Below are 20,551 nucleotides of genomic sequence, written 5' to 3' on the forward strand. Positions count from 1 at the left end.
AAGTGCTGGGATTACAGGCATGAGCCACCACGCCTGGCTTAGTTTGGGTTCTTAAGTGTTTCATGATTCCACCACTTTGTACAAAGATAAAATAACCCTCCAAATCTGGTAAATGTTAACATTTGGTATATTAGAAGCAGATTTCTTTCTTTCTTTCTTTCCTTTTTTTTTTTTTTTTTGACACGAAGTCTCACTCTGTTACCCAGACTGGAGTGTGGCGGCACAATGAAACCTTTGCCTCCCGGGTTCAAGAGATTCTCCTGCCTGAGCCTCCCGAGTAGCTGGGATTACAGGTATGAGCCACCACACCTGGCTAATTTTTGCATTTTTAGTAGAGACCAGGTTTCACCATGTTGACCAGGCTGGTGTTGAACATCTGACCTCAGGTGATCCACCTGCCTTGGTCTCCCAAGGTGCTGAGATTACAGGCATGAGCCACCGCGCTCAGCCCAGATTCCTTTCTTCTTTGGATGGTGGCAAGATTATAAACAGAACAGAGCCAGTTGACCCATACTTTGTGCCCCTTCCTGAACCCATTGTTCTTAATAGAGCATTTCCAATGAGCCAGCATTAGTCAGGAAACCATTAGTTTCTCATCAGTGGCACAGTGTGTCTTTGAAAATTCATGCCTGAAAATCCTACAAGTATATGAGAAAATATGATTTTTAAAAGTTGAATTATGGGTCAGATATTTTAAAATGCTAACATGTTGCAAATTTTGCTAAAAAATGTATTCTTCATCAGACATTTACCTTTAACTGAAGGAAAAAATATGGACAGTACTGTATGGGATTCATAACCAATACTGCCTGATTTTTTTCATAATACATCATCATAATAAACTCCTTGATTCAGTTATCTTCTTTCAAGGTACGAATTCTCTTATGGGCTTTGCAGTGGTATTCAATAGCCAGTGTATTATTGTAAGTGTTTTTGTATAATTCCAATAGTGGATTTAAGAGTTAAGATTTAAGAATTTCCATAATACCTCACTGTTCTGTATAGCAAATGGTTTTCTTGCATCAGAAAAAAATCCACATTAACCTTTAAAATAAGATTTTTAAGATTTGTTGAAGCCCTTAATTTACTATCTTTCCTAGTTCTTTTAAAACTCTTGTCAAAATAATTTTAGCATGCTGCCAAGCTAAAGCAAAGTTTTATTGGGCTGTTTAGCAGTTTGTTTACTTACTTACTTACTTACTTACTTACTTACTTACTTACTTACTTATTTTTTGAAGTGAAATTTCACTGTTGTTGCCCAGGCTGGAGTGCAATGGCGTGATCTCGGCTCACTGCAACCTCTGCCTCCCAGGTTCAAGTGATTCTCCTGCCTCAGCCTCCCAAGTAGCTGGGATTACAGGCGCCCAGCTAATTTTTTGTATTTTTCGTAGAGATGGGGGTTTCACCATGTTGGCCAGGCTGGTCTCAAACTCCTGACCCCAAGTGATCTACCCGCCTCGGCCTCCCAAAGTACTGGAATTACAGGAGTGAGCCACTGCACCCGGCCAGGTTAACAGTTAGTTTAATACCTACAATTCAGTGACTTCTGAATGTGAAATAAAAACTTACTTTTGCAACACATAGATTCAAGCAGCATCTTAATCACATATATTATCAAATTATTCAACAAATATTTATCAAGCTTCAATTCCAGGCACTTTTCTATATATAGGGATACCGCCGTGAACAAAACCTGCCCTGTTGAGCTTACATTCTAGTGGGGGTAGGAGGGTTGCATTTTATAGGATTTTTCTGTCATCAGGAGGGTGGTCAGCTCTGTCTTTGGTGTCCATTAATAAAATGAGTTAGTTTCTGCTATGGTTTGAATGTTCATGTTCCTCTAAAATTGCTGCGTTAAAACCTAATCAGCCAAGTGATGGTATTAAAAGATGAGGGTCTTTCGGAGGTGATTAAATCATGAGAGCAGAGACCTCATGGATGGGATTAATGCCCTTAAGAAGGAGGCTTGAGGGAACTTGTTAGACCGTTTTGACCTTCTACCAGAAAAGGAGGAGCAGTTTATTTTGCAGCTTCTTGTATGACAGAAAGACTAATGTGAGGAAGTTTTGAAACAGGTAAATGCTGCCAACCATATTTTTAAACAGTACAAAGTTTAGGCAGGAGTTTTTAATCTGCTCTCTCTGGCTGGACTTCACGGATCAGTAAAACCTTTTACATTATAAAGAAAATTTTATGTACATCTTCATTCCTCTCTTTGATCAGATTATTAAGGGAGTTCAGTCTTTCTTAACTAAGGCCATTGTTGCTATTTTGGGTGGAATCATGCTTTTTTGTGAGGGGCTGTCCCAGATTTTGCAAGACATATAGCATCATTGGAAGTCTGTACAATATTTTAAATGCAAGTAGTAACCTCTAGTCTTTGTGACAACCCCAAACAACCCATATATTCGCAAATGCCGCCCAGGGGCGCCTGGATTGAAAAATCGCTGAACGTTACGTATTCCCAAAGAAGACTGAGGAGAGCACTGTTTTCTAAAGCTTTGACTGCCACAGTGTTGAAAGATTTTTTTCTTGCTTATGAGATGATCTACTTACAGAGAATAGATGGATGGGACTGGAAACCTCAATTAGGTGGATTAACAGGTATTGTGGGAGTACCTGAGAAATAGAAGTGTAGAAAGAAGGCATCAAAATGAGGTATCTGACTTTAAGTTCAGATGTTCAAGCAGTTCTAGATGATGACAAAGTTCAACTGTGGCCATGGAAGTGAATGGCTCATGTGGGTGGAGATGAATATCATTAGAGATGAAAAGGTCAAGGCATAAAACGACCCATGTAGTTAGATGAGTTATTCACATGTGGATTGAAAAGACTCAGAATAGTGGCAGGGCTTGAAATGAAAGAGAATTGTGCTAGGTAATAGAACTTTAAAACGTGAAGCTGACATCTGACATTTGAAAAGCTGTTCAACATCTCCAATAATCACACAAATACAAAGTAAAGAATAATTGGGTTCTATTTTTTTTGCCAGTTTGATAAACTTAAAAGATTGATAATATATATTACCTACTGGGGACAAAGGAGACAAATTGGCACTCATGCATTACTGTAGGAAATGCTACGATCTTTTTGGAAGAAGATCTGGCAATGTATATTAATTCTTCCATTCCACTCTTGAGAAGCTATTCTGCAGAAATACACTTAGCAGCATGGAAGCCACGTAGACAAAGCTGTCTATCGCAGTCTTGATAGCAGTATTACAAAAAAACTGGAAACAATTAAGATACCGATCAACAGTGGAACAGTGCACCACCTTATAAAGTAGTAGGCACTTACAAAAAGAACAAGTTAGAAACAAATGTTTTAAAAGAAAATATCTATAATATATTAGATAAAATGTTTTTAAGTTACAGAATTATGTGGAGTAAACAGAAGTAAATAAATTCTATACATGTTGGTATGAAAATAGAAAAAGTGCCAGATGCAGTGGCTCACGCCTGTAATCCCAGCACTTTGGGAAGCTGAAGTGGGTGGATCATGAGGTCAGGAGTTTGACACCAACCTGGCCAACGTGGCAAATCCCCGTCTCTACTGAAAAAAAAAAATACAAAAATTAGCCAGGGGTGGTGGCGGGTGCCTGTAATCCCAGCTACTCAGGAGGCTGAGGCAGGAGAATCGCTTGAACCTGGGAAGCGGAGATTGCAGTGAGCCGAGATCGTGTCATTGCACTCCAGCCTGGGTGACAAGAGCACGACTCTGTCTCAAAAAAAAACAAAAACAAAAACAAAAAAAGAAAATAGAGAAAGGTATGAATGCTTACCAATTTATTCACATGGCATATAAGATTGAAGAGAAGAGAGATTATGAGTGCTTTCCTTATACATCTTGACTTTTTTAAAACCTGTTTTAAATATGCTTATTACTTTTACCATTGAAAATAAAACTATCATAATGAGCAAAACAATCCATTTCCTCAAAAGAGATTCATTTTTTTCTGTAAAGGGATAATAGAAGTATACAAATAAATTAAAAGGCAGAACAATTGATGAGCCCTGAAAGAGATGAATGAATTAATAGTTTCTTGAGAACATAATCTAAATTAAGAGCTCTTAGGACTTTTCTCATACCTCACAATATTTCTAAGGAAAAAAACAACCTATTCACATTTTCATTCAGATGTTCATGTAGAGGTTTTTCTATAGTGAGATCTACCTTGTGGAAAATTTTCTTCTTTAACCCCTGTGTTAGGGGTATATTCAAATATTTTTTAAAAATTACTTTAGAATGTCATAATCTCTAGTTTTGTAACAATTGTAAAACAGTCTTTAGAAATTAATAGGCACTCCCTAACACGTCTTGTTTCATCGTCCAAGAAGTATCCCTAAAACTATTCACAGCATCTTTAGGTACTGCCTGGAACCAGTGTAGTGTTTTACCAAACACAGCCCATCTCTAGCCTTTGGCTATAGATACAGTATTACATGTTATGAAAATAGATAAAGAAAAATAAGAAACAGAAGGCGTATGATAGGAATGAATCTCAACGAAAGTGATAAAAAATTGGTGCATGTGAATAGTGTGCTTTGCAGAACCTGGGGTATAGAAACAACTCCTTCATCACAAATTGTGATAGTATTACTGTTTTTTTTTCTCCACCCATTTTAAGCTAATGCATTATGTTAGCAGCTATGAACCTGGGAGTCATCAGTGAACTCCACCCCTTACTTCCAGTTTCACAAGAACCATAAGTAGGTGGATAGGTGTGCAGTAGGGTGGTGGCCCTGTCACATCCATCATGCCCCTGCCAGTCCAGTTGTTGAGCCAACAGGAGGCTGCAATGCTGTAAGGAATAAAGGACAACTTCTGCCCAACTTATTATCTTCAGTTAAACACAATTTGAAACTTCACTTGTTACATGATATGGTAAGAGCATTGACTTTGGAATCAAATCCCAGCTTTAGAGTTTCTAATTGTGTGATCTGGAATGTCATTTTCCCCTCCTATCATTAGTTTCTCTGCCTGTAAAAATTGGGCTTACACCAGCTTCATAGAGTTTTTGTAAAGATAAAGTGAGAAAATATGTGAAAAGCTCCTAGTACAAAGCATGCTCAGAAAATATTGACTCTAGGCCGGGCATGGCAGCTCACACTTGTAATCCTAGCACTTTGGGAGGCCAAGGCAGAAGCATCCCTTGAGCCCAGGAGTTTGAGACCAATGTGGGCAACACAGGGAGACCCAGAAAGAAAGAAAGAAAAAAAGAAAGAAAGAGAGAGAGGGAAGGAAGGAAGGAAGGAAGGACGGAAGGAAGGAAGGAAGGAAGGAAGGAAAAGAAGGAAGGAAGGAAGGAAAGAAAGAAAGAGAAAGAAAGAAAGAAAGAAAGAAAGAAAGAAAGAAAGAAAGAAAGAAAAGAAAGGAAGGAAGGAAAGCAGGAAAGAAAGAAAGAAATAAAGAAAGAGAAAGAAAGAAAAGGAAGGAAGGAAGGAAAGAAAGAAAGAAAGAAAGAAAGAAAGAAAGAAAGAAAGAAAGAAAGAAAGAAAGAAAGAAAGAAAACAAAGAGAAAATATTGACTTTATATCTCGTTGTCTACCTGGCTTGCGCTGTCTGACACTGGCCTCTAATTTAATGCTTGTCTCACTATCTAGTTAACTTCCTTTCTGTCCTTCCTGGCCCTTTTGCTTCTCTAAATGGATTTTCTTTTCTCTGGAACAATTTTTCTTTCTTAAATATTGTGCCCCTTTAAAGTTATAGCCACTAGAGGGCTATCAAACAAGATCCAATCCACTCTCCCTGACCACATTTGGAATCAGACGGTGGGATTAAGTAATCACAAAATGTTGAAAAAACTTTAAAAAGCATCTAATCTAACTCCTAACTTTAAGAATAAGGAAACTACATATTTAAACAAACACAAACAGGTAATTGTTATGTTTTTCAAATCACTAGACCTCTCTATAAATCTATAGTTAAAAAATAAATTTTATGTTATTTTAAAAGTTTTCTGACTTTCAAACTACTTATTAAAAAAGACATATGTGAGGGCAAATAAATCTCCATTAGTATCAAAGGTAGTTTGTAGATTATTTTTGTTAATTCACTTCAAATAAAGTCCAAATATAAATCTACATAAAATCTACAAATAGTCCAAAATAAATCTACATAGTTAACATATTCAATTAAAAATGTATAATCTCTAAATTCGAAATATCTTAGATAAATTTTTTTTGCTTTAACATTCAACGAATTGAAATTTGTCTGTACTTAGATATCCAAGCAACTTGATACTGTAATCTCTTAATTTTCAACACTTATTCATTCTAAAATATACACAAACTATGCCAAGTGTTTATACTTACCTGGAAACTAATACAAAATATAATGCCATAATTGAAAAGTAGCCTTAAGTAAATACTACATGCTATTGAAAGTATAAATTAAAAATTTAAACAATAAAGAAATGAGGCCAGGCGCGGTGGCTCATGCCTGTAATCCCAGCACTTTGGGAGGCGGAGGCAGGCAGATCACTTGAGGTCAGCAGTTTGAGACCAGCCTGGCCAGCATGGTGAAAACTGTCTCTACTAAAAACACAAAAATTAGCCGGAAATCACTTGAACCTGGCAGGCGAGGCTGCAGTGAGCCGAGATCGCGTCACCGCACTCCAGCCTGGGCGACAGAGTGAGACTCCGTCTCAAAAATAAATAAATAAAATAAAATAAAGAATGAATGAAAATTCCATGTAAAATACACAGTCCAGAAGAAACCTTATATATTTGTTCATCTACTTTTCACACATATACACAGAGGCCATGTGTCCAGAAAGATGTTTTCTATTTCACTTTTATTTGTTCCCTACATCATTCTCTCATTTAAATAATGTTGCTTTGATATTTTTGAGAATGTATCAGACCCCAGACAATTCTACCACAGAAACTCTGGTGGCACTGAGAGTTTTGACTGTGTCTTAGATCTGCAGTAGAGGGGCCTGAGCAGCCAGAAGCTCCCAAATATGGAAGGGTCAAATATATTCTCATGCTTAAGTTATATTTTAAGAAAAGGCACATATAAACTGTTCATAAACCGGTTCTTATATTTGGCAAAATTAAGCTAACACTTTTATATACATTGAACATGCTAAATTCTGATTTTAACGGGAACCAATGACTATACTGTGGAATTCTTGGCTTTAGTAAAATGGGGAGGAGAGTTTTTGTTGTTGTTGTTGTTGTTTGTTAAACAGATATTTGTTTAGGTGCTTAGAGCATTTTAGGAATCGTATACAAGAAACTTAACTGGACAACCTTGAGAGGTGAGCTGAAGGAGAAAACGTTCACTTTCCATCCCCCTAAATGTTTACTTTTCATTTTATACCCCTGTGTTCCATTTTGATTGAGTGTGTGTGTTTGTTTTTTGGCCAGCAGCATCACCTTCATAAAAAGGACCAATTAATTTGGTTAGGCTAAAAACCTTCTGGTTTGAGCCTTGCATTGCAAACACTACCCATGATAAAGCTTTATGTATATTGTCTCACATCTTCATTGCCAAGTAGATGTGACTAATACTGGACTCCCCAGGCTACCCTCCATTACCAAATGTGCCTAAACTTGGAGGCTGCTTCAGGCCGCTCTCTCTTTGTGCCTCATTTCCTGAGTCCTCTTTTTTTTTTTCTCTGTGTGCACTCACTCCACTGGTGATCTCACCCTGCCCTCTGACTCTTAGGAGATTGTCCAAATTTCCTAGACCCCCTCCGCACTCTAGACACACACATGCATTGCACCTACCTCTTCAAAAGCTCCACTTGGATATCAGGTAGACACCTAAAATTAAACTTGTGCAAAACTGAACTCATCTTCCCCCTAAAACTTGCTCTACCATAGCCTTCCAAATCTCAGTTGATGGTATATCCAGGCTTCTAGTTGTGCCAGTCTATAACCTGAGTAAAAGAACGACTGGAAAGTAGAGTGTGACCCATAATGCCAGCTGCCTAAAAATGAAGATAGATTTGGATATTAGGATTGAATATATCATAAAATCATTAAAATGATGTCTGAAATGTTTAAAGTTAACTCATTTTAAATCTAGGATTTAGATTTTAACATTTTCATTTCTTTTGAATATGTCACCTTTTTACAAGCTAAAAAACAGAATCAAAATAAAGCAATCTGGTCCTCCAGGGATCCAAGGATCCAGGCTGAGTCTTTCAATCATTATCAGAATGACATCATAAAACAAGGTGCTAGCAATAATGCTAGCTGAGTTATAAACTCAGAATAATAACCACTTATGTACATTTTTCATTAGGAAACAACCAAAAGTCCAGTCTTTAAATGCATGATCTACAGAACACCTTGATTTACAAGGACAAAATGATGCAAATTATATGTTGTCCAACCTATTGGTAGACCAGATCCAGAGCTGACCACGAACTGGTAAACAGAGAAAGTGTTTACATTTTAAAAACTTGCTCTGTGGGATAAAAAAATTCCTGGTTGCTATCAATAAGAAAGTAAGTAAAAAATATTACAGATGAATCAGAATGAGGCAGGAGAATAGGGTCTGGAGGCAGGGAACCTAAGGACTTCCTATAACTAAATCAAATGGAAACACTTCACCTATGACAGGAAATATCCTCCATTTACATAGCGTGTATACTAAGTAGCCAATGGAAACCTCTAGAGGGTATTTAAACCCCCCAAAATTCTGTAATGGGGCTCTTGAGCCCCTATGCTTGGGCCACTCCCACACTGTGGAGTGTACTTTCATTTTCTTTCTTTCTTTTTTTTTTTTTTTTGAGGTGGAGTCTCGCTGTGTCTCCCAGGCTGGAGTGCAGTGGAGCCATCTCGTCTCACTGCAACCTCCACCTCCAGGGTTCAAGCGATTCTCCTGTCTCAGCCTCCCGAGTAGCTAGGACTACAGGTGCCTGCCACATGCCTGGATATTTTTTTTATTATTATTTTTAGTAGAGATGGGGTTTCACCATGTTGGCCAGTCTGGTCTCAAACTCCTGGCCCCAAGTCATCTGTCTGCCTTGGCCTCCCAAAGTGCTGGGATTACAGGCATGTGTACTTTCATTTTCAAGGAATCTCTGCTTTTGTTGCTTCATTCTTTCCTTGCTTTGTTTGTGCATTTTGTCCAATTCTTTGTTCAAGACGCCAAGAACCTGGACACCTTCCACTGGTAACAAACCCACACTGATACTTGATTTTGCCAACGTCTTCCATTAAAACATGAAGTTAGAGATAAATATAGGGGATAAGTGAGAAATTCTCCCTGGGGCCTGAAAGCTTGAAGGGATGAGTAACTCCTCCCTTCGCAGACCCAGTCCCAAGGCGCAAGGCTACTTGCGTCAACAGGGTGCGTCAGCAAGATAGCAGAAGCGGGAAGAGAGCCGGCGGGAAGACACCTACCCTGGCCGGAAGACAGCTACCCTGGCTGGAAAACACGTACCCCTGAAGATCTGAAGATCGAGAAAGACGCCGTGCGGGTACTATGTAGCAGTCAGGTCAGACTGGGACACTTCCTGTTTACAGAGGACTATAAAACCCCTGTCCCATACTCACTTGGGGCTGATGCCATTTTAGGCCTCAGCCCGCCTGCACCCAGGCGCTCATTAAAACAGCATGTTGCTCCACACCACCTCGTGTTGTCTGTTGGCGCACTCTCAGGGTTCGAACTTACACAAGAACCCTTCAATAAGATACTTTGATATTTCAAAAATCAGTTACCTCTTAATAAGAAATTAGACATACTGCATTCTTCCATTTGGTACAAAAACAAATTGACAGTGCAGACTAAAAGAAATGCTTAACTCTAAAGAGGGTGGTGACAGCAACACTTTCGACACAGAATAACTTCTCATTTTCATAGTTAGTATTTCTATTCTTCCATCATGCATATTACTGTTGAAAAACTTGGCAGGAGCTTTTGCCAGGGTCAAGAGATGGGAAACAGAACATGTCCTAATTAGCTAATTGTAAGCTCAGTTAATATCTTTGGGATGGGCCCGTAAAATCTGGTTATTGTTTTGTTAAACATATGCAAACTACAGGATTCCTTAGCCCTTTAGCTATAGTTTTCTGCTCAATATCTTAAAGCTGGGGCAGTCCCACTGAGACTCTTTTCCTCAGGGCTGAGGTGGGTGCTAGTCATCAAAATCTGGAAAGTTATTGTAGGAGTTAAAATCTCAATGGGAACACCAGAATGCCTAGGAGCAGGACTGGAACGACACTTGCCCCACCCTTGCTGATGTAGTGGACCAGCAAGAAGGAGCCTATGATATTGAGAAAGGCATTAATCAAAAACAGCACAGTACCAAGTGCAGTGCCTTATAAGAGATCATGGGAGGGCTTTTCTTAAACTCAAGGTCAATGTAGCTATTGTCTGTGCTGGGGAGCCTTGACTATTTCACTTTACTACTGGGGGTTCCAGCAGCCAGGCTGTTATAATAACAGCATTATAACACACTGACAGCTATAGTCAAGAGCCAGATCCCAGCTTATCTTGCCACCAAGGTTTCCTGCTTTCTAATTTTTCCAAAGTAACACAGAGATTAAGTGGAAGAGTGATGACTCAAATCCAGGTTCACCTCACACCATAGTATTGCCTGTCCCCTGCCTCTGTGGAGCATTGATCCAGGTTTCCTGTGCACTGAGTGCTCACAGACAGTTGGTCTGTCAGACCACATCGTCTGGCCCACCTAACAGCCGGCCATCCAGCAAGGGCTGTTGTTCTTGTTTTTAATAATCCCCTTAGAAAACATTTTAGTGACTCTACGCCAATTCTCTGATACTTAACCTTAATTCTTACTTATAGCCCTTGCACATAGTGAAGAGTGGTGATCTGATTAATTCATTCATTCTGAGGACTAAGCTCTGATTTTTCTTATCTTGCCCAAATTCCTACCTAAGGGGTCTGGGGAGTCATACCTTACAAACCATAAATTCTCATCAGATGGGTTTTATTTAACCCTATGTATCCTGACTTACTTTCTGATCTGACTCTGGCATAGCATTACGTGACAAAGAAGAACATCAAATTATTCTACCCCAAAACATGTTTCTTTGCCATATTTTGAAATGGCCCTACAAAGCTATCCTTTGTGGGAAAAAAATTTGCATCTGTAAAGAATCTCTATTGACAGCACTAGATATTTTTCTTCTAGGCCCTCCCAATTCTGAAGAGATTAACTGAGAGTCTAGCATTTTTTAAAGTTCAGAATAGGAAACATTTGTCATCTATTGTATCTAAGGGCAGCCACTATGAGACTTCAAAAGAACTTTGGTCTCCACAATCTTTTGTCTTAACCTGAACATTTCCTTTCTATGATCCCAGGTCTTTAGAAAAACTCAACCAATTGTCAACCAGAAAATGTTTAAATTGCCTAAACACCCTCCCTTCCCCCACCAGCTTGAATTGTCCCACCTTTCTGGACCAAACCAATGTATTTCTTAAATGTACTTGATTGATGGCTCATGCTTCCCTAAAATGTATAAAACCAAGCTGCAACCAACCGCCTTGGGCACATGTTCTCAGGACCTCCTGAAGGCTGTGTCATGGGCCATGGTCACTCATATTTGGCTCAGAATAAATGTCTTCAAATATTTTACAGAGTTTCACTGTTTTCATAAACAATTGAACAAATATTTCTTGAGTTCCTACTATGGACCAGGCAAAAGGCTAGGAGAAAATCTAGAGCCAAACAAACAAATCCCATAGTAATTGTCTGCATGAAACTGATGATCTAGTAGTGTAAATAGAAATGGGAGATTGGAAATATTAAAGAGTAATAGTAAAACTGCAATTACGTTTGCACCAACCTAATAGATGTTAAAGAAAAGTAAAATTACATCTGTGATATAAATGATATAAAGAAGACAGTGCTGTTATGAGAATTAAACTGGAAAAGAGAGTTTAAGAAAGCGTCCCTGTGGAATTGAAGAAAGAACTGCAATCTGAAGAAAAAAATGAGTAAAGTCGGTGAGGGGGCAGCTTTCCAGGCAAGTGTCATAACCTGTGAAAGACTCTTGCGATGCGAGGAGCATCTCCCATTTCAGGAAAGGAAAAAATGACCTGAAGCACAGAAAGTGTGCTTCAAGAAGAGGCTTGAGGAGAAAGGAATTCAGATTATGTAGGGGCTTATGGACAAAGTTAAATATTTTAGTCTTTCCCAAGAGTTATGAAAAGTAATTGAGAGAACAATCACAGGATTAGATTTGCAGTGGGAAAAGGTCACTGGCTACTGCGACTGGAATGGATGGGCTCAAGAGAAATGTGTGCACATGTGGAGCACGTGACATGGATAAAAATGTTCACAGCAGTATGCTCCTCTTAATAGCCCTAAACTAGAACCAGACCAAAGGATTATCAAGAGTAGAGTGAATAAATACATTGTGCTGTAAAAGTATTACCATATAGTATGAGAATGAACAAACAACTACACACTACAACATTAATGAACTTCATGCACATAACATTAAGTAAAAGAATACAGACAGAAAGATGTAAACAATATGATCCTATCTGTATAAAGTTTAAAGCAGGCAAAACTAATGTGGTGTTAGAAGACAGGATAGTGATGGCACTAGGAGTGGGAAGGGCTGGTAATTAAAAGGAAAGCAGCATAGGGTGGGCCTCTGCAGTGCTGGCAAATGCTCTATTTCTTAACCTGGGTGGTGGTTAAACAGGATTTGTGATCATGCATTGAGCTGGATGTTTATGTTTCATGAAGTTTTCATATATGTGTAATATAAAATTTTAAAATATTAAAGAAATTTTAAAGAATAAATTGCCAAGCATGGTGGATCATGCCTGTAATCCCAGCACTTTGGGAGGCCAAGGCGGGCGGATCATGAGGTCTGGAGATCTAGGCAATCCTGGCTAACATGGGGAAACCCTATCTCTACTAAAAATACAAAAAATTAGCCAGTTGTGGTGGCACGAACCTGTAGTCCCAGCTATTCAGGAGGCTGAGGCAAGAGAATCGCTTGAACCCGAGAGGTGGAGGTTGCAGTGAGCTGAGATACGCCACTGCACTCCAGCCTGGGCAACAGAGCGAGACTCCATCTCAAAAAAAAAAAAAAAGGAATAAATTGGTAGAGTTAATGAATGGATGTAGAGAGATTAGTTAGAAAGCAATGGCAGTAGTCCAGGTCAGAGAAAACAGTTATTCTTGAACCTTGCTAATAATGGTGAAGATGGAGAGAAGAGGACTTATTCAAGGGCTGTTATTTAGGGGTCACAATGAATAGGATTTGATGGTGAATTGGCTGTGGAGTATGAAGAGCAAGAAGATGTCATGGATGAGTTCTAGGGGTGACTGAATTAGGTAGGCAAATAGGCAATGCTATGTTTATGAAAAGGGACAAAGTATAGAATGAATGAGGATAAGGGTCAGTTTTTACGTTTGGTGGCAGAAATGTAAAGGGTCAGCCAATGATCAGCTGTGAGAAAAGAAGGGAGGGGAGGACTGGGCTTGTTCAGAGAGCAGGAAAAGTTTGAGACCAGTTGTACAGAGTGGAACAGTGAGAGAACTAAAGAAATACAGGAGGATTGCTGAATGGTGCTGACAAATCTTTTGAAGTTGATCATCATGAATTTATAGTGAATATTTTACCTCGAAGAGTGACTTGCTCCAGCAGCACTCAGCTGCTCTTTTCCACATATGAAGAGAACCAGTGATTAGGATCACACATGATTGGAATTTTGCCAGATGGGTATGATCAGTATAGTTTTTGACTTATCATATTAAGTCAAAATATCAATAAAGATTGTGATAAAATCCAATTTTTCATCCCATTATAAGGACAGAGAATTTTCAATATTCACCTGCCCAGAGTTTCCTGAGAACATGGAAATTCATCTGAGAAGATGAGAGAGAGATGAGGGAAGCCAGCGTGACATTTGGACCCTTGGTCATAGGTCATAGGTCTCCAGAATTACTCCTCTCCTCTCTAAGTATAATTTCTGTTGCCGCTGCAGTCATATATTACCATCTCTCTTTCATTTCCTTATCTTTCTATTTATTATTCTTTTTTTCCAAGTCCCTTGCTCTCTTATGTCCTTTTCCTTTGTGGGGATTGTATGAAAGATATAAGCATGATGTGGACACATTAAAATTGTGTAGGAACACCAGCAAATTTGGGACTGGAGAAACGGAATTGAGAAGAACTTAGTGTTTCAGCTTTTGTTTCAGCTTTTTGGACACATTATTTTACATACAATCCAGGCTTTAGTAACCAGTAGGATCTGTTGCAAAGAGAGAAAGTCCATACAATTTCAGCAACATGCCATCTGACGTTTGGAACCTTAGCCCAATTGCAAAGAAAGCAATTTTATTATTGGCATGTGCCTATTTCCTTTTCCCTTTTTTCTGTTAATACTTTATTTATGGATTCATTCAGTCATTCTGTTACTTATTCCACAAACATATATTAAGTAACTACTATGCATCAGACACTGAGCACTAGTTCAGTATCCTCTATCAGCTCACACTTGGGGTCTTTTAACTCAAAAGGACTACCTCTCCCACAAAATTATACGTCCTTCTCTAATGATATAACCACCCAAGGAGCTCACCTTGCCCACTGCCTAGACAGAGCCAATTCATCAAGACAGGGAAATTGCAATAGAGAAAGAGTAATTCATGCAGAGCCAGCTGTGTGGGAGACTGGAGTTTTATTATTACTCACATCAGTCTCCCAGAGCATTCAGGGAGCAGAGTTTTTAAGGATAACTTGGTGGGTGGGGGGAAGCCAGTGAGCCAGAAGTGCTGATTGGTCAGGGATAAAATCATAGAGTCGAAGCTATCTTCTTGTGCTGAGTCAGTTCCTGGGTGGGGGCCACGAGATCAGATGAGCCAGTTTATTGATCTGGGTGATGCCAGCTGATCCATCAAGTGCAGGGTCTGCAAAATATCTCAAGCACTGATCTCAGGAGCAGTTTAGGGAGGGTAGGAATCTTGTAGCCTCCAGCTACATGACTCGTAAACCATAATTTCTAATCTTGTGGCTAATGTTCATCCTACAAAGACAATCTAGTCCCCAGGCAAGAAGGAGGTCTGCTTTGGGAAAGGGCTGTTACTGTCTTTGTGTAAAGTGTAAACTATAAACTAAGTTTATCCCAAAGTTATTTCAGCCTACACCCAGGAATGAACAAGGACAGCTTGGAGGTTAGAAGCAAGATGGAGTCAGCTAAGTTAGATCTCTTTCACTGTCTCCGTCATAATTTTGCAAAGGTGGTTTCAATCCCTCCCTTTAGGTTTTATAACACCTTAATCTTAAGGTGTAGATTATGAAGATAGGAAAAGGCTGTGGATCGCTCTGGCTTCTTCCTGCTGACAGGAGACATAGTGGGAATGGGAGTGAACCCCAGGGTGAGAAGAGTGGAACTGCTTTGCAACTGTCTGAGTGTACTCATGCAGGCCTGGTTGAGCTTCCAAGGCTTGCATGGCAGAAACATTAGTACTCTTATCTACAGTTTTACTACAGTGTTTAAGTGAACAGCCTACTGTAAGGTAAATAACGAGTCCTAGGATGAGTAGTACAATTTCCAATTTTAAAAGCAAAGATTTGAAAGCATTAGTTTGGGGACTTCTAATCCACAAAGAATTTAGAATTTAGCTTAAACTGCAGAAAAACACCTCAAAAACAGCTAACAACAGTGTACTATAGTTTTTCTTTTGAAGCATAATTTTTGTCTCTCTAGTCCCCATTTTTATTAAAAACAAATCATGGTAGAACTAATTTGTTTACAAAATAAACTTTAGTCTTCCTGTACTTGGCCTGATTATTTGCATGAAGTGCAGCAAGAGTAATTATTTTTCACTTAGACTAACAAAGCCTAAAAATAAAGCCTTCAAAAATTTGGCTTAGATAGGACTCTGTTCCATGAGGAATCTCAGGTAAGATTTTTTTTTGAGATGAAGTCTCGCTCTTATCACCCATGCTGGAGTGCAATGGCATAATCTTGGCTCACTGTAAATTCCGCCTCCCGGGTTCAAGCGATTCTCCCGCCTCACAACATGCAATGAAGTAAGTGCCATTATTATCTCCATTTTAAAAATGAGAAACCTGAGGCATGAAGAGGTTATATAACATTCTCAGCAGGGAGATAACAGAGGCAGGACCCCACCAAGCAGTCTTTCTCCAAAGCTAGTGTACCTAATCATCACTCAAGCCGATACCTAAGGCTGGTGGTGAGAAGAGGTGCTGTATTTCTAACAGGCTCTATTATTGGTGAAAATTTGCTTTCTGCTGTGAATTGACCTTTTCATTGTTGTGATCAGGTCTTGTGGCCATTAGGGTAAGGTTGTTCTGTTGGCATTGAGTTTTTTTTATACAAACACAAAAAGAAAGTAAAAAGACTCTAATTTGAGGAAAGACCTCTTTATGGTCATTGGCTTGATAATAGTAAGAGTATAGGATCTATGAATTCCTGGACCTGTCCACCTGACTTGAGGGATGTTGAGAGCTACCCAAAGAAGCAGAAAGAGGAAGGATATACAGTTTGGGGACTCAAAGAGAGAGGAAAACATGGAGCTAGATAGTCCATTTATATAGTTATTGTAATATCTACTTTCTATTGAATCAAGGAATTAGAAGAAATGTTTGTAAAACTTTTATTATCACCATCCTGTTGGGAAGATTTAAACCAGTGAGTTAATTCTTAATTTATTCTGGAGAGGAGGAAAGAAAGTAGATGAAATAAATATTATGAAATTCCCAAGATGCCTAATTTTTCTGTTCAGCAGAAAAGAAAAAACTGCACATTATAATTTTACCTAATAATGTGGGTTTAATACACAAGAATATGAAGGAGTGAGTGCACTTTTTAATATTCTTCTCCTACAGTAATTTTATTCATTCTCAGAAATTAACCTTTATTTTTTCATTCACATTTTTTATTTTTTGCTCCATTTGTATTCATTTGTTCACTCATGCATTTAGGCACCTATTGAATAAATACTTTTCAAGTGTTCCCTATCTGCCATGTATTGTTCTAGGTGCCATGAATACTAACTAAATAAGACAAGCAAGATTCCTACCCCACAGAGCTTATAGTCTAAGAAGGGTGGAGGTTATATGAAGTTAGATTCAATTGTCATATAAATAAATAAGATAAATGGAGATAATAATAAGTTACATGAACAATAAAACTGGGTAATGTGTTGAAGAAGGACTGGTTGGGGGAGTATTTTAGATTGAATAGTCTGAGATTATGTGACAAATAAATAGTGATTGGTTGAATGAATGAATGAGTGGTTAGGGAAGATACATGATAAAAGGTAGCATATGATAAATGTAATGGTAAGATTTGAAATAAAGTCCTCTATAGTCATAATAAAGGAAAATATACAACTGAAAAAAAATTTTAAATGTCCTTGAAGCTAGATAGGGTTTTGATAGATGAAGATGGTAGGGTAAGGGCATTGTTGGCTGAGAAAATAAAATGAGTAAGAGGAAAAGCAAAAGGGAACACCCACTGTGTCCAGTCAAGGGAATGAAGAACAGAGGAATGGAGGAAGGATAAGGGGAAACAGCTATTTGGAAGCAGAGAAAACAAATTGAGGCCAGATCATGGTGGGCCTTAAATACCATGAAACAAGTTTTAATTAAAAAATTTTTTTTTCAGGCTAAGGCTTGAAAAGACATTTGTCTAAAGATGATATACAAATGACCAACAACATATGAAAGGATGCTCAATATCACTAATCATGAGAGAAATGCAAATCAAAACTACAGTGAGATATCACATCATACTCATTAGATTGACTCCTATACAGAAAGTAGAAAATAACAAGTGCTGGTAAGGATGTGGAGAAATTGGAGCCCTTGTGCACTGTTAGTAGGACTGTAAAATAGTGCAGCAGCTAGGAAAAACAGGATGGAGATTCTACACACACACAAATAAAAACTCAGCAATTCACTTCTAGGTATATATCCAAAAGAACTGAAAACATGGTCTCAAAGAGATAATCGTACAACCATATTCACACAGCACTATTCACAATAGCCAAGAGGCTGAAGCAACCCAAGTAAATGATTAGGCAAAATATGGTATATACATGTACAGGACTGTTATTCAGCTTTAAAAAGGAAGGAAGTTCTATCACATGCTACAACATGGGGGAATCTTGTGGACATTATGCTAAATGAAATAAGCCAGTCACAAAAAAGCAAATACTGTATAATTCCACTTATATAATGTATCCAAAGTTGTCAAATTCATAGAAACAAAGTAGACTGGTGGTTAGTTGGAACTAGGGGTTGGAGAAAAAGGAGAGTTTAATGGACATAGAGTTTCAGATCTGCCAGATAAAGTTCTGAACATCTGCTTCATAACAATATGAATATAGTTAACATTACTGAACTGTACACATAAAAATGTTAAAGATGGTAAATTTTATGTTATGTGTTTTTTACCAAAATAAAAAAGAATTCAGTAACTTAAGTCCTCAAAATATTTATGCTGCTTTGTAATAAACTTCTAAGGGGTTGTGTGTGTATATGTGTATGTGCATGTGCATGTGTGTATGTGTGTCAGGTTGTAAAATATATGTATAGAAGGTCCCTGCCTTATGAGAGTTTGACCTACGATTTTTCAACTTTGCCATTGTGTGGAAGTGATATGCATCCAGTAGAAACTGTACTTCCAGTTTCCAATTTTGAACTTTGATCTTTTCCTGGGCTAGAGATATGCAGTATGATACTCTCTTGCACTGCTAGGCAGCATCAGTGAGCCTCAGTTCCCAGTCAGCCACTGATCAGAAGGGTAAACAACTAATACTCTACAGTGCACTATGATGCTAGATGATTTTGCCCACCTGTAGGCTAATGTAATGCAACCGAGCACATTTAAGGTAGGCGAGACTAAACTATGATGTTTGGCAGGTTAGGTATATTAAATGTACTTTTGATTCATGATATTTTCAACTTACTATGTGTTTATCAAAATGTAACCCCCTCTTAGGTCAAGGAGCATCTGTAGCTGCTTGGATCTACATTAACCTCATTTATCTATACCCTACCTATGTGAGTCTTGGAAACTTGTCTCATATAAACAATGAGCTAGCCTAAAAAAGGGGACTTTGACAATTGCTTCATCGGTCTTTGTCACTCTGGAAATATCAGCATCTGCATGTTGAAAAAGGTCTCATTATATTAGCTTTCCATAAGCTGTCACCTGATTATAAGACCTCTTTTGCACCTTCCCAGGTGAGTCATCAGAAAATTCTTTAGTTTTATACATTTGTAGGTCCAATGCATTTTAATTAAATTTAATATATTTAATATATACAAATTAAATATACTTCATATATAAGGTTACCCCTTATTTATATGGATTAAACTGACTAAAATTAAATGATATAGCCAAGTTAATATTATTTCATGTTTATCAGTATTTCATTGCTTCATTGCTACATAATCTGTTTTTAGGTATAATATTAAATCACATAAAAACTCATAAGTGAATACTTAATCTTTTTGTTTCTATATTGGGTCACAAGTACTGAGACAAATTATGTAACTTTAAATATTATTAACTTTGGAATCCTTGTTTATAACACAACTATAATTGTTTATTTTTCTTTTGCTTTTTAGAACTTTCCTGCTATGTTTATCTGAGTTTTGTGGTAACATACGAGACTTACCTTTGAATGTATAAAACTGGCTAGTTTTACATGATCTGAACTTGAGAAGCGGTTTCTTAGGTTTCAAGACAACATGCTAAATACATAGGACCATCTACTGGCAAAGGATGATATAGTCCTAAGGACTGGTTTTGTTGGAACTTGTAATAGCCCAAGTTAAAGATCATGAAGATTGTGAAGCCCAAAAGTGTATTATTGAGGGAATCCTGCTGCCAGAATATGCTTATCACTTAAATTGCAACAGAGTGGTCTTAGATAGAAAATACAAGAGCTGAGAAGATACTACAAAACAAGTAAGTCATTTATATGGAGTCACAACATCTAACTGGCATACATTTGTTTAATATTGATATAGTAAAATATTTCATGAGGGCTCTGACAAGGACTGTCTTGTTAATCTCTGAATCCCTAGCATAGCAACTGGTACATGGAAGTGTCAACAAGTATTTACTGAATCAGTGAATGAATAATGACAACCAGGGCCTCAAAACTTTTGAAAATTTGCCTTATATTCTCCCTCTCCCATAGGACCACACCCATAATTTAAAATAAAAAAAATACAAAGTGTAACATAAGTTCCCTTTTTAGATGAAAAGTGCATCTATCTGTTTGGTTAACCAGAAACCTTGAGTCAGTAAAAATTATACTTAATATTTACGTTAAAAATAGTAATAATGAAAAATGACCTAAACTAATTAAAAGAAGGTTATGTGGACTTGCATAGGCTTTATAATCAAATATTGCTCATGTCAAATTTCAGCTCTATAGTTTGGGTATTGTATGAGGTTGGATTAATTACTTAACCTTTCTCTCCTCATTTTCCTCTTTTATTAAATTAGCATTTTGTTTATACCCTACAAAGATTTGGTGAAGTCTGTAAATGCAATGATTTGTGCCTACTTGGTAAGTACTAATAATAAATCCAGCTGTTGACTTTTTGTCTGACTG

At 37.9% G+C, this 20,551-nt stretch overlaps 1 protein-coding gene and 1 long non-coding RNA gene across 2 annotated transcripts in view; one reads left to right on the forward strand and one right to left on the reverse strand.

Moving 5' to 3' along the window:
- Positions 1-1,583: 1,583 nt before the first annotated feature.
- ABCD2 (ATP binding cassette subfamily D member 2) overlaps positions 1,584-20,551 on the reverse strand; it is an 88,779-nt gene continuing 69,811 nt past the window's right edge. The window contains exon 10 of the mRNA XM_017018992.3: positions 1,584-2,619. Coding sequence (XP_016874481.1) covers positions 2,598-2,619 — 22 coding nt within the window. The 3' untranslated portion in view covers positions 1,584-2,597. The remainder of the gene's footprint in view (positions 2,620-20,551) is intronic.
- LOC124902918 (uncharacterized) lies at positions 16,825-20,541 on the forward strand. The gene is made up of 2 exons (XR_007063277.1): positions 16,825-19,166; positions 19,554-20,541. It is a non-coding gene; the product is annotated as an uncharacterized LOC124902918 (long non-coding RNA).

The sequence above is a fragment of the Homo sapiens genome, chromosome 12 (assembly GCF_000001405.40).
Source record: "Homo sapiens chromosome 12, GRCh38.p14 Primary Assembly".
Lineage (NCBI taxonomy): Eukaryota > Metazoa > Chordata > Mammalia > Primates > Hominidae > Homo > Homo sapiens.